Raw genomic sequence first — 21,457 nt, 5'->3', positions numbered from 1 at the left:
TATTCAAAGCAAGCGCAGTGTTATCTCAGAGGATGAAATCATTTCCTTTCGCTGTGTTTGTGTGTGCTGTTGCTCAGATGTTTCTGTTCAGATGCTTTCTTCGAGATTTTAAGTGAAAATTCTCACAAGTATCATTTGACTCTCTCAAAGTTTTAGAAATGGAGCTTGCTGGTTCTTTAAGGTCCTTTCTGACCTCAGAGCTCAGGGGTCCAGAGTCAGGGGTGGGCTGGGAGTGGCTTCCCTGGGCTCAATCTGGCTGTGGGGCTATGGGGGTGGGGAAGAGCAGGCACCAGTTTCTCTCTGGGAAGCCCCTACGTGCATCCCCGGGAATTCCCAGGTGGCACTGGCTGGTTGAACAAGCGCCTGGAACAGGAAGGCCCCATCAACAAAGCTGTCAGCACAGACAAATATTTGGAAGCCCAAGGAGCTGTGCAGGGGGGCAGACGGGGGTCTTCACTGCCACAAAACCCACAGGGGGACCCAGCAGCTTCTGCGGTCACTGTATCAGCCTGTACATTCTGCCCCCGCAAAGAAAACGGCTGAGTTCACCCACATTTCCTGTCCCCTGTAAACACCAGCCTCTCCTGCAAGAAAACGCCTTGCACGCACTGCCGCAACCCCTGGGCCTAGCTGTCTCCTCCTGGCTGGGTGGATGTGCAGAAATGCAAGGGCCTCCTTCCGGTGGCCCTGCTGGCTCTGTGTCCCTCCACCCCCACCTCCTCAGTTTCCCTCTGGGGAGTTTCTGCTCCTCTGTGTTCTGTCCAGGTCACTTGGCAGGGTTGACACCCACAGGTCCCCAGCCCCAGGCTCCAGGAGGGGGTGAATGACTCACATCTGGCTGATTAGAGCATTTCATCCTGCTAGCCTCAGTTCAGGGAGTTCAGTTCAGGCCCAAGCCAGCCAATAAGCATTAATCCTGGGACTTTAGCTGAAACAGCTGAGGAGGAGGACTGTGAGGGCACGGGAAGGCCGGGCCATCTCTGCCACACCTGGGCAGAGCTGGTTTAAGAGATAAATTAACACAGAGGAGGCGGTTGCTGAGAGATGGGGCAACTGGATCAGGCCGTGATGTCACTGGGCACCTGGATCTAGCTGAACCTGAAGCCAGCATTTCTGAAGGCAGATCGATCTCTGATCTTTTCAGTGACATGAATTGAGATTCCCCTAGCTAGGAAGTAACTGGTAGCTGGAAAGCACAGCCAAGTCCTCCATCCCCAAATCTTGGCTTCTGGCCTCTGCAGAGGGATAGGCGCTGAAGTCAGTCATGGGTTTGAATCAGGACTCCTCATAAACTATGAGACCTCTGGCCAGCTACCTCTCATGGAGCTCAGTGTCCTCTGCTGTAAACTGGGGACGGGATGACTTAATAACGTAAAGTACTTAGTACTGTGTCCAATCCACAGTCCATTCTGACCGAGAGGCCTGGGCAAGGACCCAGGAGGTGCAGGGCTGCCTATGGCAGAAGATGCCTGGAACTGGGAGACTGTTACTCTGCCTGGGCCTCAGTTTCTCCAACTGTAACACCGGAGAGTGGAGTTCTTTGTCCCCTTATCTCCTGTGCCTCTTCCACCCTAGCTCCCCCTCCCACAGCCCTCAGGGTGGGTGGTTCCTCTCCTAGCTTTTCTCAAGGCCTGCCAAGTGCCAGGCGCCTGACAGCTTCTCAGAAAACAATATGAAGCCAGCATCATCAGCCCACTTTGCAGATGAGGAAGCTGAGGCTCATGTCCAAGGTCACACAGACATAAGGGCAGAGCTGGGATTTGACCTCCCATCCCTGTGAGTCTGAACTCACTGTGCCTTCACCCTGAGCTTCTTGGGGACTCTGCCCCTGCCCCATCTGGATGGCCAGAGCAAGGTTGGCTCAACCCTCCTGTCCCCTGACTACCACTGTGCACCTCTCCACAGCCTTTCCCAGCTGCGCATCCTCATGGTCTGTGTACCCTTGAGGTGACCTCTCTTTGGGTCACACCTGTGTAGACTTAATTTTGCAAATTGGGCCACTTAAAAGCATTACATGTCCTCCTCACTTAATGGGCCCAAACTGGAGAATCCTTCTGCAAAGTGCTGACCTTTGACTATCTGAAGGTGCTTAAAGCTGAATCCTTGCTTTACATATGGGGAAAGTGAGGCCCAGACAGAAGGCAAGAGGATCCCCACATCCACGCAGCTGCCTGTGTGTTTCTTTTTGACCTGGGAAGCTTCAGGATTGATTAGCCACTCCAACTACACCAGGCACTTGGCTGAATACCTTACACTTCTGCACTAATCCTATGAACTGGGGCTCAGAGAGGTCAAGCCACTTTCCTAAAGTCACACAACCAGAAAGTGGGGTAGCCGGGACTGGAGGTGGTTCTGAGTCCAGCGCTCTGTTCTTTCCCTTAGTCTGTGTCTGCCTCTCTGGGTTGCCAAAGAGGATAATAAGGGCTTCCTAAACCTCCCGGGCAGATTTTGAAGCTAAATTGAGATAATAGACCCCAAAGCCTGGTGAGAAGAAACTTACAAGTTCCATACAAATGCAGTGCATTGTTATTAACAAAAGGCTCGAATTGGGAAAAACAGCTAAGGAGGGAGATGCTGAAGAGGGCTCACTGGGAGCTAGAGGCAATAATGTGGCACCTGGGAGAGCGGCAGGACCAGTGCTGGGAGGTAATTAACTCATTCCCTGCCAGACAAGGTGTGCCCGCATAGCACCACGAGGACCCCAAATGAAATGAGTCACCAATGCTCAAATGCTGTTTAAAATGTTTCAGGCATTTTACTAAATGCTGGGGCTTTTTTCATTATTAATTATTTTTAATAGTGACTTAGGCCACAGGCCCTACTTTAGCTGGGGAGCCACGCAGGAGGCAGGTATTATATACCTGGCACAGGCTCTGCCCGTAACATTTAAAACAGTTACTCCCTGTGGCAAGTATTATTATCTCCACTCTCCTGGTAGAGGGGATAGTGGCTTCAACTCCAGTGAGTCATTGCCCAAGGTCACCTAGCAGGCAAACGGGGAAGATGGGAGTAGACCTGAGCTCCAACCAGCTCTCAAGCTCTCATGCTACGGAGTGGCTCCTCTCTGATGTACTTTCTCCTTTTGGGACCAGGCAAGAGGTGGGTTAAGGGTGAGGCAGTTCTCAAACACCGAGGGGCACCAGAATCATTCCAGATCCAGGCTCCACCCCAGCCTTGGAGGCAGGAGGTATACTCGGTGCTGAGCTGGGACCGTGGTGTTCGCGCCCCCTCTGCCCCTCCCTGCTGGGCTCTGACCATGGAGGGGATTGAAGCTCAGGGGGCTCTGGGGAATCTTCAGTCCTTGAAGTGAACTTGTCCATTCATTTTTCCTAAGCCAGGCTCTGAATCTCTCCTTCCTGTTCTTATGAATACCCCCTGGCTCCCTGTGGCCCATAGGAAACAGGCAAACTCCTGAGGCTGTCATTGGAAGCCCTGGACCCTCTGGCCCCACCCTGTCACCCACTACTGTGCATATATACCACACCTCGGCCACACTGGACACCTCTCCTTTCCCAATCAGGACACGCCTCCGTTCTGGCCACTTCTTCTTTTTGAAATGTCCTTTCCCGGCTTCTCCTCTGGGAGCACTCCCATGTAACCTTCAAGGCCCAGTTCAGAAGTCACCTCCTCTGTGAAGACTTCCAGGATGGCACCCTTCCCTGCCCCCAGAGCAATGACAGCCGCAGTGACAGCAGATCTGCGTCTCCAGAGCTCCATCCCCACAGCCAGCACCGCATGAATCATGCAGCCTTGTGATTCACATGTGTACAGTCCTCCCACCAGACCCTGAACTTGGTCAGGGCAGCATATGTGGTTGATTCATCCCTGGGGCCCCTGTGCTGGGCGCAGAGCCTGGCATGGTGTGGCAGGGGTGCAGGCTATTTGAGGAAGCGACCGGAGGTTGGTAGGGCCCAGCTCAAGTAGGGCCTTGTGGAAGACCTCAGTTTCCTCCTCTCTAAAGGACAGAGGGCTTAGAGCAGAGTCTGAGGGTTTTCAGGCCTGACATGCTGAGCGTCTAAGAATCTCTATTCTAAGAAATAGACCTGGGCTGTGTGAGGTACCCTTTTTGGAAGATGTGAAAGATGGCTGCCTAGAGTCCCCCAAAGGCTTAAATCTGGGTGGACCTCCTGGGTGGTCTATCTCGGACATCCTTCTCAAGATGGGGGCCTCTTTTGGGCAGGCGGGTTTCAGGACCAATGCGCTTTGTGACGGTGCCTCTCAAGACAGTCACAGCCTGGGTGGGCCATATCAGCAGAGTCCCCACTGGGGGCTGTCTATCTCAGAGGAGCCCCTCCCGGGCCATCCATCTAAGGACAGGTCCCTCCTGGATTCCCCGGGGCCAGGCTGGGTGGGCTGCGCCTCTCTCACCCGCAGCTGGTCCTCGGGCAGGTCGCTACCATTGTTGATGCCGCGGTTCATGGACACAAAGCGCTCAAAAGGCGGCCTGTCCCGGACGTTGGGATTGTGGAGGCTGGTGTTGAGCATGATGATGGAGAAGGACAACACGTAGCAGGTGTCTGCGGAGGGGACAGCGGTCACAGTTCTGGCCCTGGCCACTCTCCCTGCCTCTGTCCCGGCCCCTTCCAGGGCCCAGAACTGCCATTGCAAGGCCCCGAAGGTCCACCTTGTCCTCCTGGCTTGGGCTTTGAGGCCCAGCCTCCTCTCCCTTCCCACTCTTGCTGGTCCCCACCCCCTCTTAAACTAACCTCAGCCTCTTTTTCTGAGCCCCTTCCTACCTCCGCGCGTACGCTCCTGCTGGATCCCCTGCCAGGCCTGCCCTTCCTTCCCTCCTCTCCGCTTCAATCCTCCTTCTCGCTCAGCCACGGCTCAGGACCTCCTCCCCGCAGAGCCCTTCCAGCCCCCTGCCCACTCTGTTCTCTGCCTCTCGGAACTCGGAGAAGAACACTCATTGTTAGCGGCACTGTTCAGGGCTGAGCCACTGCTGCTCTGTAATCTTGCTGGCGTTCCTCCTGAGCCCCAGCGCCTCTCCCATTATTCAGACTTTCAAGCACTCAGGAGGGAGGGCTGGGCTGATGGCTGGGGAGGGAGGTAATTGCTACTCTGGCAAGGTCTTTTGTCGAGTATTTGGGCCCTGGATCCAGAGCCAGGGAAGTTCAGCTGCATCTTCAACTCTCTGGTTGACCTTGGGAAGTACTTGACCTCTCTGACCTTCAGCTTCCCCATCCTTGACATTCAGAGGTTAATCTTTGAAGTAACTGCCTGTTCTGGAACATCAATGTTTCCATCTCTGATAGCAGTGGCACCGAGCGTTGTTGGTGCTTGCCCTGTGCTAAGCTCTCACATCCCCATGCCCATCCTATGAGGCAGGTCTTGTTATCACTCCCATTTTACAGATGAGGAAACCGAGGCACAGGAAGTTAAGCTATATGCCCAACATTACAAAATTAAGAAGTAATTGGACCGTGATTCAAATCTGGTGCTTTAAGATGCCTTCTTTCCTACCTACAACTATTTATTGAGTACATACTCTGTGCTGTGGGCCTGGGAGTCACTGATGATGGGTCTGACAGGGTCCCTGCCCTTGCAGGACATTTAGACTTGTGACAGATAATAAACAAGCAAACAAACACTAAATTAAGATCTAACCACAAAGTAGGGCAAATGTTCTGGAAGGTTTGTCCATGGACACAGCCAGGAGGCGGCGTGCTCGCAGACAAGTCATTTTATCTCTCTGAAGCTATATTCCATGCGTGAGGGAGGGATAAGAAGACTACTGACCTCAAACGGTTGATGTATGGATTGAGTAACTTTGGCTTGGCATGGTGGCTCACGCCTGTAATCTCAGCACTGTGGGAGGTCGAGGCGGGCGGATCACCTGAGGTCAGGAGTTCGAGACCAGCCTGTCCAACATGGTGAAACCCCGTCTCTACTAAAAATACAAAAAATTAGCCAGGCATGGTGGTGGGTGCCTGTAATCCCAGCTACTTGGGAGGCTGAGGCAGGAGAATTGCATGAACCTGGGAGGCGGAGGTTGCAGTGAGCTGAGATCACGCCATTGCACTCCAGCCTGGGTGACAGAGACAGACTTTCTTTCTCTCTCAAAAAAAAAAAAAAAAAAAAAAAAAAAGGATTGAGTGGCTTTGCCTGTGTAAAGCACTCAGCGCATAGGGATTACTCAATATACAGGGTTGGTTATTGTTGTTATGACAACTAGATCCAGAGAAGAGGCCAGGATGGTCCCTCGCCCACCCTGTCCTCTGGATGTCTTCACATGGGCATTGGGTTAGCCCTGGGAGAGAGGGCTATGGAGGACTGACCTTTATGTATCTCCTTCTATGCCCCTTTTGCCCCCTACACCCTGCCCAGGCTGTTTCATGTTTCTGGGCCTTTGTTCCAACTGAAACTCCTGCCAAAAAGGCCCTTTCTCCCCTTAACCTCCTGGAAAACTCCTACTCATCCTTCAAAACCCCATTCAGACCTCACCGCCTCTGAGAAGCCATCTTGGACATGCTGATTCCCTTACTCCTGCCCTCAGAAAGGGGTGCTGCTGCCTTAGCCTTAGCATCCTGTGCCATCGTCTCCTGACTGCTCTCCTAAGAACTGTGTCTCAAGGCAGCTCTGTCAGACAAGCACCCAGCAGCAATGAAGTCAGTGCTCAGTGAGGGCTCATGAAGGGGTCTGGGCTGCCAGGGTCTGGGTACCTGGGGGAAACCTGAGGGGGTCTGTGAAATCTATGCCTGGCAATGCTGAAGGGGTCCCGGAGCCCTGGGTCCCACTCCCCTCCTGGCACCTGTGGACTGGAAGACGCCTGGGTTGCAGAGGCAGTATCGAGTGGCAAAGGCCTCCATCATCCGGTCTATCTTCTGGGCCTCGCCCGGCAGCCGGAAGCTCCACAGGAACTGCCTGGGGGAGAAACGGGGCCACGGGCAGTGGAGTGGGTGGGCCCTCGCGGGCCCCAGACAAGCTGCCCTGCCTCTCCCAGGTTTAGTCTCTGTATCCTGTAAATGGGGGAATCTGCAACTGTCATCTGGGCTGACGGGGAAGTGGGATGGGCACCAGGGAGCCCCAAGCACGCGGGAGGTAGCCAAGAAATGCCTTTTCTTGCAGAATACGGAACTAAGCACACGCCCCGCTCTGCAGGTCTGAATCCCAGCACTGACTGCAGCCCAGTCTGCCTCAGCTGGGAAGGGGGACGGCCTCTGCCTGCCCCGGGGTCTGTGGCTCCCCGCACCTGGCCTTTGGGCCCTGAGATCTGGCTGTGGGACCTAGTTGGGGAAGAGGTGGGGCAGGGGTTTTGCCTTGCTAGGGCTCCCTTTCTTGGAACCTCGACTTCCCTCTAGCTCTGGAAGTTGGTGGTTTCGACAGCTTCAAGCTAAGTTCTCTGAAGGTGAGAACTGGGCCTGTATCTCTCACTTCTCCTCCTGGGCTTCACACAGTCCTGGGCACCTAGCAAAGGCTCAGTAAATAAGTGAATGAATGAATGAATATGTGAATGAATGAATGAAAGAATGAATATGGGAGACTCCCAAGTCACCTACCCCTCTCCCTTAAAGAGCTGGGAGTTAGAGAACACTGGATGGTGGTGGCTTCTTCCTTCTCTGTATTGTGAACTCCTACTCACCCTCCAAAGCCCAGATCAGATGCTCCTTCTCGGAATCTGAGTTTTCAAGCAGCATCAAGACTTACTAAGCACTCACTGTGGACCAGTTTTAAACACTTTCCCATTTAGTCTTCACAACCCTGTGAAGTTGGTACTATTATTATCCCCATTCTACGGATGAGGAAACTGGGGCACAGGAAGGTTTATTTATTTTTTTGTGAGACAGAGCCTCACTCTGTTGCCCAGGCTGGAGTGCAGTGGTGTGATCTTGTCTCACTACAACCTCCACCTCCCAGGTCCAGGTGATTCTCCTGCCTCAGCCTCCCGAGTAGCTGGGATTACAGGCGCCCGCCACCACGCCCGGCTAATTTTTGTATTTTGTGCATGTGTATGGCTTGCTTAAGGTCACACGGGGGTGAGCAGCAGAGCTGGGATTTGAACTGTATAGTCTGGCTCCAGAGTTTGTGCTTCAAACTGATAATTGGACTGCCTCTGCAGTTGTAAAAATGAGTACCAAAAACAGTACCCTAATTAGAAGCTAATAAGTCATAATAATTGGAATACATGCTAAGCAGTCTTATAAAATAAATAAAACATGCACTAATCCAAAAAGTAGGAGAATGACCATAATAAAGTAATAATGATTAGAATGATTAAATATGGGCATGATAGAATTCTAACTAAGAAGGCAGTATTTGCTATTTGCAAGGAACTAGGCCCTTTCCCAGGCGGTCCAGCTCAGCTCTGTGAGGCAGTACTATCATGAAGTCATTCTTGTTCCTTGCCTCCTCTTCTTTGCTCCCAACCCTTTGTTTGTGCTGTCAGCTATGTGGATCGCGACACCCCCAGCCACTGGGGCTGTGCCACCCTTGAGGGCCGGGACCCTGCCCCAGGACTACTCACCTGAGGGCCTGGACGAGGTTGAGGTTGGCGAACTCGTGGCAGTCCACGAAGGCCTGGAGGACCTGCAGGTTGATGGGATCCCTGGGGGAGGAGGCGGAAGGGAGGGTGGGACACACTTGGATACTTGCTGGCACCCACCTCCTGGAGGGGGTTGAGGTGGGGGAGGGAGAGGACAGAGACATCTGTCCTTCTGGGGTCCAGCTGCCATCTGGTGTGTTCACATCTGTCCCACCCATATCACACCCTGAGGGCACACCCTTGTCCTCCCATGCAGGAACACACACCTTCACGGCTCACCAGCGCTGGTCTGGCCTGGGAGGGGAGCCCTGGCTTTGGAGCGGCCTTGCCCTCAGTCCAGGCCTTCCTCATTTCCTGTAACTTCCCACCTGGTGACCTCGCGGAAGCCACTTGACCTTCCCAGCCCCAGCTTCCTCATCTGTACAAGGGAGAGAAGCTGACCTCCCCCATCTCCTCCCTCTCCCCAGCTCCTGAAGCAGGAAGGTGCCCTTCTCACCGTCTGCATCCCCTGCTCACCGCGGGAGGGAGGGGTGTCCTTGGGAGCTGGGGAGAGGGCTGTTGACTCTCTGGTCCAGCTTCACCCCTATCCACTCGCCCACCCCTCAGACCAGTCCTTTGCCCAGAGCGCTCCCACAGATCCCCACCTCCTCGCCCACAATATCCTTCCTCTCTCCTCCCGTCCAGTCTAGATTCTTGAGCCTGTTTCTGACCCCAGGGCCTTTTTACTTGCTACTCCTGGACCGCTCCTCCCCCAGATGTCTGTACTGCTCATGCCCTCACCTCTTTTACGTTTTGGTCAAATGTCACCTTCTCCATGAGACCCTTCCTGTCCACGCTATTCTAAATCACAGCCCCCAACCTATGGTCCCCAGCATGTCTTTCTTTCTTTGTTTTCTTTTCTTTTCTTTTTTTTTTTGAGACGGAGTCTCGTTCTCAATCTGTTGCCCAGGCTGGAGTGCAATGGCGTGATCTTGGCTCACTACAACCTCCGACTCCCAGGCTCAAGCGATTCCCCTGCTTCAGCCTCCTGAGTAACTGGGACTACAGGCACCTGCCACCACATCCGGCTAATTTTTGTATTTTTAGTAGAGACGGGGTTTCACCACGTTGGCTAGGCTGATCTGGAACTCCTGACCTCGCGATCTGCCTGCCTCGGCCTCCCAAAGTGCTGGGATTACAGGCATGAGCCCCGAGCCTGGCCGGTCCCCAGCATTTCTGACTTCCCTTCCCTGCTCGATTTGTATTCCACAGAGCTTATCATTCTCTAACATATTTTACAACTATTGAGACCTGTCTCTCCCACTAGCATGGACTTCCTGAGGACAAGAGTTTTGTCTGTCTTATTCACTGGTGTACACCCAGGGCTTAGGATGGTGCCTGGAACACAGTAGACCCTGAGCAACATTTATTTGTTGAATAAATGACTAAATGAATGAAGGCAGTCAGGCTTTGACTCAGAATCTGGAGGGGATGATCCGTGAGCCCCTCAAGCACTAGGAGTGATGACTTTGCTAACATAATTCATCCTCTCACCTGCACATCCACACACCTGTACACACCTGCACACCTTCATTTCCTGCCTCGCTAAGGCTCCACTCGTTCTTACCTCTCCCCCAGGTAGGTACCAATGGCTGTCTTGTTGAGGCCCTCGCCTTTATACAGGAACCGTGCAATGTCCTGGACGTCAGGGGTCAGCAGCTTGTGCTCAATGAAATACTGGATACCCTGGAGGGGGTACACAGAAGCCGTGAGCAGCTGCTGCATGGAAGCAGGCCTGGGAGGGGGAAGGGAGGAAGGAGCTTCCATGGCCAGAATCCTGGAGCCTGGCATTCTGGTGTTGGCACAGTCTGTTCTGGGAAGTTTTGACCCCTCTTTCATAGGAGCTGCCTTTGGGAGGTGATGAGTTCCCCATCACTGGAGGCATGCAAAGAAAGTCAGCTTTCCTGCCATGAACCAGGTTCATGCCAGGTACTCCCCAGGGTCCCCCTCAGTCTGACATTCTTTGATTATATGCTTCAGTGACTCTAGGAATTTGTGATTCTGAGATTCAATGATTCAGCCATTTCTTTTGTTCCCCTAAAACTCATATTATTTAAAAATAGCGTTTCATTCTTTCACACAAGTAATCTATGTCTATTGTATAAAAGTTAGAAAAACCAGCTCAATCCAAAGGGGAGGAAATTGCCCGGGCCCTACCGCTCGGAGGCAGACAGCTTCCATCGTGGTGACCTTCCTTCCCTTTCTATGTGAAAATGGGCTCAGACCATGCCTGTCACATTTAAATCTGTTTTTCGGATTTGACAATATCACAAGCACCTCTCCTCACCACCAAGGCACTCAGAGTTTGTCATCCTAGTTTTAGGAGTTGGAGGGGTTGGTCTCTGGCTCTCCGTGAAGATTCCTCTGTGTTCCACTGCTGGAAGTTGGGCACAGGCCATGAGGGCCCAGTGACAGGCAGAGGATGCAGAGGACACCCCTGGGTGCTGGGTGGGGTGAGAGTGTGAGCCTGCGGGGGTCTCTGTGGGTAGGAGCAGGAGTCCAAGGGTCTGTAGCCATGAGAGGTGAATGGTTATAACACTTTGGGCCTGTGATGGGGACAGGGAGCCTTCTAAGCCAGAGCGGTAAATTTCCAGGGACCCCAGCTTGGTGCTCTCTGCTGGCCACCTGACCCCACCTCGGTGTGTCTGCCTGCGGTTTCCTTCTGTCTCCGTCCTTTCAGGATGGAAGCCCAGCTGCCACCTGGTGGGGTGAGGCCAGGGGCTTGGGAGTGGTGTGGGGGATCGAGGTAACCCAGCCCTGAGCTGCTGCTCCTACTAGCAGAGGGGTGGGTGGTGGGACCGCAGGACTGGCCCTCCCTGAGCCCAGGGCTGGAAGATGCTTCTGGAGCCTAAGCCCCAGATCCAAGAGCTCCACTGTCCCAAGCCACATTCATGGAGAAGGAAATGGAGGCCCAGAGTGGGGAAGGGACTAGGCCAAGTGCATGGACACCGTGGCCTCCTCCATGCTCCTGGCTCCTCCTGCCCCAAGGCGTGTATGCCTGGGAGTAGACAGGGCGCCCAGCCACAGCTGGCCATGGGGCACTGGACAAGATGCTCAGCTCTGCTGGGCACAGCTTCCTCCTCTGGAAAGGGGTCGTGTCAGCCGAGGGGAGCGAGAGGACACCAGGCAGGTGCTCCCATGCAGCCCCCACACCCTGTGGCCCGGGCCCTCCACAGCCACCTACCTTGGCGGGGTCCATGTTGAACTTCTTGCGCCCAATACACAGCTCCTTCTCCTTCTGGGCCATCCGGCTGTGGACATGAGGACGTCAGCTTGGGCTGCCCCAGGACCCTGAATTACCCTCTCCACTCCCCAAGGACCCTTGCCTCAGCAGGAGCCCATACCCCTCTAGGGCCCTCCAAGTGTGGCCTCCGGGTCCTGCATGGGAACCACCTGGGCGGGAGAGAGCAGTGCAAGGCCTGGCTCCTCCCAGAGCTCTGCAGCTGACTTCTCTGATGGGCCCAGCACGGGCATTTAGCAGCTTGCAGGAACCCGGAGCTGCCGTGTGGGAGAAGGTGGAGGGGCCCTGTGCAAGAAACCGGGGGAGGGGGCGAGGGCTGAGCACGCAGGTGCTGGAGCCAGGCTCCTGGATGCGAATCTGAGCCGGGCTGCTTTGGGCGAGTCACTTCCTCTCTCTGGGCCTCAGGTTCCTCATCTATAAAATGGAGGTGATACCACCACCTGCCTCCCAGCATTGTTGAGAGGTTAAAGCACCTAAAACAGTGAGGCGTAGGTGTGTTATGTTGTCATTGTTGTGGCTGGAACAGGGGAGCTGGAGAAACGGCCACTCGTGTGTGTGCATGCTTGTGTGTGTGTGCATGCTTGTGTGTGTGTGCATGCTTGTGTGTGTGTGCATGCGTGTGTGTGTGTGCATGTGTGTGGTGGGGGAGGGGAGGAGGCTGGACAGGTGGAGACCTAAGGAGTGGCGGGCGCAGGATGGGAAATTGCCAGGACATCGTGTGTCAGAGTCAGTGCACTGGGGCCTTAGGAGACTGTGTAGCAACCAACCTTCTTGTTGCACAGATGGGGAAACTGAGACCCAGAGAGGGACAGGATCTGTCCCAGATCACAAAATAGTGGGAGTTTTCCACAGAGGCGGTGGGCGTGGCTGGCCCGGGGTTAGTGGTGAGTGGGGTGGGGTAGGGCCAGGCTCCTGTCCTCCTGGGGCCCTGGGCTTCCTTGTCCTTGCCCTTGGGGCTGAGCTTCCCTTCTCCCCGCCCATCCCAGGGTGGATGTGGCCAGTGATCGGTCAGGGCTGGACCACAGTGGGTCAGGAGAGACTTTGGGTTGGGGGAGGGGAGGACGCAGTGTCTCTCAAGAGAGGGTCAGCCTGGGAGCAGGGACCAGACCCGGGATGGGGCCGGGGCCACCCTGTTCCGGTCTCGTTGCTGCCTCCTTCTCCCTGGCCAATCCCTGATTTCACCAGGTCCAGGGGGCTGGGAGTGGCCCCTGCTCATTCAAGGTGTATGACATCCTTGGGAAGCAACCATGGCAGTTTCTGGGGGTCCCCACCCAAGCCCCTCACCTCTCCTCCGCACTCTCGAAGCAGTCGATTTGGGCAAACACATCTGCAATCTCATCCTTCAGCTTCTGTGGGGTGGCAGGGGCAGGACAGGGAGAGTCAGGGGTGGAGGCCAGAACCCCGGGGGTTTGAGACCACAAGGACCACTCCTACCCCTGGGCACGACTCTCAAACCTGGCCCCTCTCCCTGACCTCTGTCCTGAGTCCCCAGTCTGAGGGACCCTCCATGGACAGGTCCCCTCCCTGGATGTCTCATAATTTCTAAGTCGCATGCTAAACTATCACCTCTGTCTGCACCCATGCCTCCACTTGTCTTGGGGAGTGGGATTCCCCAAGCCCCCATCCCTTGCCCATCCTTTTTCCAACCTTCCCATCTCTCCTCTCTGCAGCCATGAAGTCTCCTGCACTCTAGCCGAGCCTACCCGACAAGCCGGCCTCCCCACTGCCCACCTCCCCCAGCCCACCTCCACCCTGCCCGCCTCCACCCTGCCCACCTCCACCCTGCCTGCACCCCCCGCCCGCCTCCACCCTGCCCACCTCCCCCAGCCCACCTCCACCCTGCCCGCCTCCACCCTGCCTGCCTCTCCCGGCTGGTGTCTTTCTGGAGCACTGCATGGAGCCTGCCCTTCCCCTGCTCAAACCCCTCCCATGGCTCCCTACTGCTTCCTCAGCTTCTCTCTGGCTTTCCTCCATTTACTATGTTGCTCACCCTTGACTAAGTGCCCGCTATGTGCCTGCCAGGTACTACGGGGACACCACGCACAGGCAGCCTAGGCCCTCTTTCCAGGGACTTTGCAATTCCCCTGGACTTTACAGAAGAGGACACTGAGGCGTAGAGAGATGACACGACACGCCCGCAGTCTGACTCCAAACCTGTGCTTCCCCCAACTCGACCCCAAGCCCATTTCATCTTGACCCTGCAGGAGGCACCCAGTGGCAGAGGGGACCCCCTAACACCTCCCCCTGCCAACCACCAGCACCCCCTGAAGGACACCAGCATGAGCCTCTGGCCGGCACCCCCATTAGGCACCCAGCCCCTTTCTCCCCAGGATCTGCAGGGTGCTGGTGAGGGGCTGGTTCCAGGGACTTGTCCTGAGACTCAGGGCCAGCATGGGACTTGGGAGCCTGTGTCTGAGCCGTGTCAGCTCCTGTTCATGCCATCTTGGCAGAGCCACTGAGTGGTTGCCCCACAAATACAATGGGGATTCATTTGCAAGTATTAACTGAGCACCTATTAATGCTGCACCCAGCGGGCTGGGGATGCAGTGGTGGGCAAGACAGACCTCGGCTCTGTGTTCATGGAGGGCACAGTCTGGTGGGGCTGGGATCATGGGTGGTCATAGGGTAATTGGAATGACTATGCAGAACACCATCAGAGCAAGGTAGAGAAATCCTGGCATATAGTAGGTGCTCAATGAAACAGCAGCTGAGTGAATAATTTTGTGCCTTCATTTCCTCACTGAAATCCTAAGTTTATGTGCATGGGAGTGGGGGTGGGCACAGCCACTGCAGCCCAGGCAGAGGGGACTGCGAGTGCAAAGGCCCAGGGGCAGTGCTGAGCAAGGCACGTTCCAGGAACAGAACCCAGCCTGTCTCAGAAGCTGCTGACCCAGATGAGCTGACGTCTGAGTCTGATTGGTGAAGTGGTAAGTGCAGGGCACATACTGGGAGTTATCTTGACCAGGTGGTCTACACTCTGCAGGGGTGAGACCTGGCTGAAGCTTCACCACAGGGGTCAGAGCCTGCCCTGTGACAAAGCAAGTAAAGGCCAGGATGAGGATCGGCACACGGTGGGCGCCTAATTGGATCGCTGCCTCCCTCCCCGGCTCTCCCAGTTCTCCCTGGGTCTCGGGGTGTCTGCAGTCTTGTTGTTCTCCCTGCTCCTGGGGCTGGGGCCGAGGCTGATATGAGCCAGAGTTGGCCACACTGTCTGTTGACCAGGCTGGGTCAGGAGCTGGTGGGGTGCGTACAAGCGTGCAGGAGTGTGGGCATGGACACGTGTGTGGACACGAGTGTGCACTCACCTGGATGTCCTCCAGGAGCTGCTTTCGGTGCCACTTGATCCTCTGTAACTCTTCCGTCTCCCCGCTGCTCAGCTCCGCGGGCTCTACAGAGAGACAACCGGCCTTCCCCATCACTTGGCTCCAGCCACACCCACTTGCCCTCACTTCTGCAGGGCCCCCTTCCCTCCGGAAACCCAGGACTTGCCCTATTCACAGAGGCCCACCTCCTCCAGGAAGCCTCCCCTGACTGCCCTGTCTAAAGCAGCCCCTGCTCCCTCCTCTCCTGCCCTGCTTCCTGTTTCTCCCACCCCCCTGGATAGACACCCCCAAAAGGATCCTGTTTCCTTGCATCTTTTCTGTCCCTCCCGCTAGACTCTCGGCTCCATGAGAGTTCAGTTGTTCTACTCTTTTGCTCACTACTGTGTCCCCAGCACCTAGAAAGAGTCTGACATGTCATAAGCACTCAGTTAAACACTCGCTGAAGGCACGCATTCCTTCCCCGGAACTTGAATCTCCTCCTCCACTGGCTCATGGGCTCATTATTTATTCACTTATTTATTTGAACAACCAAGAAGTGGTATACCATTTTCCTCACATCCCATTGGCCAGAATGTAGTCACGTGGCCACACCTAGCTGCAAGGGAGGCTGGGAAATGAGCCTGTAGCAGGGTGGTCCTGATGTCCTTACTGTGTAAAATGGGGAGGCTGGATTTGGGGGATATTTTATAGTCCCTGCCCCTGGATACTGGGGCTCAGAGAGGTGAGGTGACTCAACCCACAGGGAAAAGGTCACTGAGCCAGGATGGGACCTTGAATTGGGCTGACTCCAAAGCCTGTGCTCTTTCATCTCCACTTGGAAATGAATTAAATGAAATAAGATTTGTGTGTGCGGCATTCTATGCAAGGTGCTGTGATGATGCCCACAACTAGGTCAGCTGTCCTATCTTCATGCTTCATGGTGGCTTCTGTTTCATCCACAACACTCTCCTTCTCTGAGTAATATGGCCTCCCTATTACTCAGAGAGAAAGTCTTCATCCTGGGCCTGGGGCCTCCACAACCTCTCCAGCCTTGGCAGCCAGACTTATTCCCTGCCATTCCCAAAAAGAGCCTGCCAGTCCAGCCTGCCAGCTCCTTCCTGCTCCAGAGCCATCCAGGACTCAGTCCCACTTCCCCATGTTTGCCCAGGCCGCTCCTGTACTCTGGGATGCCTTCTCCTGTCTGCCTGCCCAAATCCTCGCTGACCTTCAAGTTCCAGCGTCGGGAAGTGCCTGGCCGCATTTCTTAAAGGTTTTACAAGGATAGACATCATTTCCTCCAAAAGAACACAGAGGGAATGTTGAGCGCTCCCTTTCCCTACTTCTCCTTCTCATGATTAAGCAGGCATTGTGGCTGTTGAGATTAAAGCCCCATGCGGAGATGCAGGGCACCAGGCTAGATGGAGCCCAGGTCCCCAGGCAGCGGTGTGGAGAAGACTCATCATGTTCACCTGGCCCACCTATCCATTTGGACTTTTCAATAAGAAATAAATCAGTTTTGAGAATGTTTCGGTTGCTGTTATTCTGAGTCTCTTTAAGCAGCTAAATCTGAGATATACCTAATACAGCATCCTCATCTGTGAAATGTGAACCATAACCCTTGCCTCACAGGGCAGCTGTCAGGAAGGAAAGAGCTACACTTTGTCAAACACCCAGCAAGAATCCAACATATGCTGAGTCCCACATGTGTGCAATGGGTGCTGTGTGCATCTGGCTCTTCTCTTCAGGACCAAGGCACCATCCCCCCAGCTGCTGGGAGGAAAGCCTGCTGATGGCTCACAGCTGAATCCCTCCCCAGACACTAGCCTCAGCCAAAGGGAGGTGCCACGCCCAGGAGTTCCCCTGACCAAGGGCAGCCACTGCAATAAAAAGCCAAGTCCCGGTCAGGCAAGGTGGCTCACGCCTCTAATCCCAGCACTTTGGGAGGCCGAGGCGGGCGGGTCACGAGGTCAGGAGATCGAGACCATCCTGGATAACACAGTGAAACCCCATCTCTACTAAAAATACAAAAAATTAGCCAGGCATGGTGGTGGGCACCTGTAGTCCCAGGTACACCGGAGGAGGCTGAGGCAGGAGAATGGCGTGAACCTGGGAGGCGGAGCTTGCAGGGAGCCCAGATCATGCCACTGCACTCCAGCCTGGGCAACAGAGTGAGACTCTGTCTCCAAAACAAAACAAAACAAAACAAACAAAAAAACCCAAGACCCCTTGCCTGGTTTCAGGACCTACCCCAGTTTTCAGATACAGAACGTCGGGACTGAAGGAGAGGCTGGGTTCCAAGGGAAGAGTCCTGCAACATTGTGGCAAGTATATATGGCAATGACTCCCTGGTTCCACATTAAAACACCTGTGGCCATTCACTCCAACAACTGTACACTGGGGAAAGAGCAATATCCAAACATTCTGAGGATTGTTGGACACAGGATCCAAGTTGACATCAGCGCTCAAGACTGAAGTGTCTTCAGGGCCACATTTGAGTGGGGGTACATAGAGACCAGGTGGTAAATGAAGTCCTTCCAGGTCCAGCTCACTAGGGGTCTGCTTGATTCATGGCCACTTTCCTGGCCTACAGATGTAGAATTGGAATGGACATCGCTGGTACTTGAGCCCATATTGGTACCTTGGCCCATGGGGTCAGGATCATTGTAGTGGGAATAGCTATTTGGAAATTTATGAAGCTGACCCATCATCCCCACAGCGAAGAGACTAAATAAAAAACTATATCCTGAGGGGAATGGCAGGTGTGGGTGCCACTCTTGAGACCTAACGGATGCAGGAGCAATGGCCCTCATCACATACCCAAGCACTTCCCCGGTCGGGAGGATGGCCTGCTCCTTCCAGCTGCTTCCTTCTAGCAGAGAATTATATACTATGCAGAAAACAGTTCCTGGAATGGCACCGGGTCCTGGTAGAGATAGAGTGCCAGCCCACGGAACATCATGTAACTAAGTAGCTCAGATGGCTCCATCTGTCCCACTAAGTCAGAAGGTCAAGCGAGCCCAATAGTAACCCTTTGTGAGTGGTACGTCCAGGAGCAGGTGTGAGCAGAGCCAGAGGGCTCCAGTAGGCTCCAGGGATAGGTGGCCCAGATCCTCATGTCACCGCTGCTGGTGGACCAGGGTCTATCCCTCTGCTTACACCGTGACCACATGGGTGGGTCCCTTATGACTTTCTAACAACAGAGGAAAATGCCCAAGGCTGGTTGCAGAATGAGTTGGCTCAGAGTTTGGGCGCAAGTGAAAACCAGGCAGCTACTGAACTACAGTCCTGCTCAAAGGTGTCCTGGAAAGACAGTGATGAGGGCAAGTCCTCCCAGGGGGCAGGGCTTCAGGCAGGGCACCTGGCCATCCACTTCCTGTGGAAAGAGAAGTGACTTCTTGAAGTCAGAATATCCATGCATCATGGGCAGTGGTGAATGGCTTGACTTCTTGGTCAGAGGCAAGAAAGAAGGAAGATGGGAAGATCAGAAACACAGATGTCAGGAGAAGAGGCAGGTGGATGACCCCGTGGGAGCGGAATGTCCACTCTGCCAGCAACAGGGACGCATGCTGAGCCCATCTTTTCTCCAGAAGACCAGGGGGCAAACTGATTCCATGAAACCCCTTCTATTCTGCAAAAGTCAACAATCCATCTTGTCTGGAGTCGACACGTGTTGGAAATGTGTTTGCCTTTCCTGCCCACAGAGCCTCAGCCAGCACCACTATCCAGAGGCTTAGGGTGTTTGACCCACCAACACAGCACACCACATAACATCACAGAAGACCAAGGGATGCTCTCTACAGCAAAGGTGGTCTGAAGTGAGCACGTGGCCATGAGATCCACCGATCCTCTCTAGCATTTCATCGGAAGGTGCTGGCCGGATGGAATGGAGCCATGGGGCGGTCTTGAGAAGGTACAGCTGAGGTGTCAGCCTGGAGGTGATATCCACTTGGATGGGGCGCCATCCTCCAGGAGGCACCATATGCCCTAAATCTACCACCACTGTGTGGTGCTCTGTCTCCAGCAGGTGGACCACAAGGGTCTACGAGCTGAGGGGTAGGAGTGGGAGTGGCCCCACCTGCCATTCTCCTAGTGACCCACTCTGGAGTTTCCTTTTTTTTTTTTTGAGACAGTCTTGCTCTGTCACCCAGGTTGGAGTGCAGTGACATGATCTTGGCTCACTGCAACCTCTGCCTCCCAGGTTCAAGCGATTCTCCTGCCTCAGCCTCCCCAGTAGCTGGGATCACAGGCATGCACCACCATGCCCGGCTAATTTTTTATTTATGTATTTATTTTTTTGAGACAGAGTCTCACTCTGTCACCAGGCTGGAGTGCAGTGGCACGACCTTTGCTCACTGCAACCTCTGCCTCCCGGGCTCAAGGGACTCTCCTGTCTCAGCCTCCTGAGCAGCTGGGACCACAGACATGAGCCACCATGCCCAGCCAATCTCTGTATTTTTAGTAGAGATGGGTTTCACCATGTTGGCCAGGATGGTCTTGATCTCTTGACCTCACAATCTGCCCACTTTGGCCTCCCAAAGTGCTGAGATTACAGGCGTGAGCCACCGCACTGGGCCAATTTCTGTATTTTTAATAGAGACGGGGGTTTCACTATGTTGGCCAGGCTGGTCTCGAACTCCTGACCTCAGGTGATCCACCTGCCTTGGCCTCCCAAAGTCCTGGGATTACAGGTGTGAGCCACTGTGCCCGGCCCACTCTGGAGTTTCTTTCTGTCTCTGCAGGTCTAGAGGTACTGTTTCCAGGAGGGAGTTGGCGGGGACACTTATACCAGGGGACAAAGCAAGAGTCTTATGACCCGTTAAGCGCACAAACACCTACTCCATGCCAGTCTCTGTATAACTGCTGTCATTTAACCCTCTTTGAAGTAGGTATTTTCCAGTTTGAGACACTGAGGCTTAGGAAGGCGAAGTGACTCGCCCCAGGTCTCATTCACAGGAAGTGGCAGTGCTGGGAACTGCACCCTTGTTTGCTGACCCCCACGCCTCTGCCCCAGGAGAGGTGGATTCCCAAACTGCTTGGGACATGCAGGGATGGAAGGTGTAAGGGGCCACCTGTGTGGAGATGCAGAGCAGGGACAGCCGGGGAGGCAGTGCTGGAAGCTGGCTCCGGAACTCTTCCGGCAGGAGCTGGCGGGGAGGCCGTTGGTCTCATCCATGGGAAAAAACCAATCACCTTGGGTTGCCTTGGAGGTGAACAATCCGATTCTGTTTTGTTTTGTTTGTTGGCTTTATACAGTTTTCCTGTTGGCTTGGGGTTGTGTTTCTGCCCAGGGCGCACCTGCTGGAGGAGGCTGAGTGGATTCCAGACTGGCTGCTTGTCTGAGAGAAGCCAGGGTGGGCTCCAGCATTCCTACAGATGCTCCAAGGTGTGGATGGCCAGAATTGAGTGATGGGGCTCCTGAAGCTCCTCCTAGGCCGACCTTCCTGGTCCCCATGGGGCTTCATCAGCTCCTGGCTCCCACCTGCCTTCAGGGTCCAGGGAATCATTCACACATCCTCTGTTCCAGCCCCTTCTCTGAGCTTCAGATCCAACCATCCCCTATGTATTGGTCACCACCGCTCTTGTCATTGTGCCCAAAATTGAACTTCTAGAATGCCCCCTCCTCCCCATCCTCTTCCTGAATTCCTGAGCTCTGGAAATGGTCCACATTTCCCCAGGAGGCACTCTGACTCCCACCTGGCTGTCACCCCTTGGGTCTCCTCCATCACCAAGTCCTGTCTATTTCTTTCCCCTTCCATGGCTCCACTGTCATCCCAGCCGCTATCGCTTTGCTCAGGGGGACTTCAGGGCTTTCGGATGCCTCCCTGCCTCTTCTACCCATTCTGGTCCAGTTTCCCATGGCATCCCATTGTCCTGGGGACAAAGACCCCAAATCTCACCAGTCCTGCTGGTGTATCCCCTCCATGCTCCTCTCACACTGTGCCCCTCCCCGTCCCAGCTCCGTGCTCTGCCTCCCTGGCTGCCCTTCATTCACTCCCCTGAGCTCTAGCCTTCCAAAAGCCTTTGCACCACCATTCCTTGTACCCAGAACGCCCTTCCTTCTCCTCTCTGCCAGCAGCCCCTCCTTATCTCCTACTTCAGATCCCTTTTCAGGGGTCCTCCTGGGTTCCATCTAGGAGCCATCCCTGCCCCCACCCCTTCCCATTCCCCACAGCGTTTCTGGGATCTGCATGGCTCAATAACCAAGCCACGCCGTTGGTTAAGGAAGGCATGGTGGCTGAGCACCCATGGTGCGCCAGGCCCTGTGTGATCCAGGCTCTTCCCATCCACTCTCATTGAATCCCACAACCACTCCGAAAGGAAAGGTACTTCTAAGCTCATCCTACAGGTGAGGCCCCTGAGACTCAGAGACGTGAAGTGTCCTGCCAAAGGTGA

At 54.6% G+C, this 21,457-nt stretch overlaps 1 protein-coding gene across 2 annotated transcripts in view, besides 4 other annotated features; it reads right to left on the bottom strand.

The window, feature by feature from the left end:
* The window catches only part of CYTH4 (cytohesin 4), a 32,834-nt gene that overhangs the window by 7,571 nt on the left and 3,806 nt on the right, over positions 1–21,457 (bottom strand). The window contains exons 2-8 of one of the 2 annotated variants that reach the window (NM_001318024.2): positions 15,068–15,169; positions 13,047–13,111; positions 11,706–11,772; positions 10,089–10,207; positions 8,465–8,545; positions 6,752–6,864; positions 4,369–4,517 (exon numbers count right to left, since the gene is read on the bottom strand). In NM_001318024.2, coding sequence (NP_001304953.1) covers positions 4,369–4,517; positions 6,752–6,864; positions 8,465–8,545; positions 10,089–10,207; positions 11,706–11,768 — 525 coding nt within the window. In that variant the 5' untranslated portion in view covers positions 11,769–11,772; positions 13,047–13,111; positions 15,068–15,169. The remainder of the gene's footprint in view (positions 1–4,368; positions 4,518–6,751; positions 6,865–8,464; positions 8,546–10,088; positions 10,208–11,705; positions 11,773–13,046; positions 13,112–15,067; positions 15,170–21,457) is intronic. The other variant, NM_013385.5, reaches the window with a different exon arrangement.
* Positions 251–480: an enhancer, noted in NCBI's record as "active region_18968". NCBI's record gives its function as "activates an Ori minimal core promoter by ATAC-STARR-seq in GM12878 lymphoblastoid cells {active_cell/tissue: GM12878}" and the evidence as "EXISTENCE:reporter gene assay evidence [ECO:0000049][PMID:35858748]".
* Positions 641–700: an enhancer, noted in NCBI's record as "active region_18967". NCBI's record gives its function as "activates an Ori minimal core promoter by ATAC-STARR-seq in GM12878 lymphoblastoid cells {active_cell/tissue: GM12878}" and the evidence as "EXISTENCE:reporter gene assay evidence [ECO:0000049][PMID:35858748]".
* Positions 731–900: an enhancer, noted in NCBI's record as "active region_18966". NCBI's record gives its function as "activates an Ori minimal core promoter by ATAC-STARR-seq in GM12878 lymphoblastoid cells {active_cell/tissue: GM12878}" and the evidence as "EXISTENCE:reporter gene assay evidence [ECO:0000049][PMID:35858748]".
* Positions 3,649–3,943: a silencer, noted in NCBI's record as "tiled region #14238; K562 Repressive non-DNase unmatched - State 6:EnhF". NCBI's record gives its function as "represses a minimal TATA promoter and a strong SV40 promoter by Sharpr-MPRA in K562 cells {active_cell/tissue: K562}" and the evidence as "EXISTENCE:reporter gene assay evidence [ECO:0000049][PMID:27701403]".

Source organism: Homo sapiens, chromosome 22 (assembly GCF_000001405.40).
Source record: "Homo sapiens chromosome 22, GRCh38.p14 Primary Assembly".
NCBI lineage: Eukaryota > Metazoa > Chordata > Mammalia > Primates > Hominidae > Homo > Homo sapiens.
This window is presented reverse-complemented; position numbering and strand designations above follow the sequence as displayed.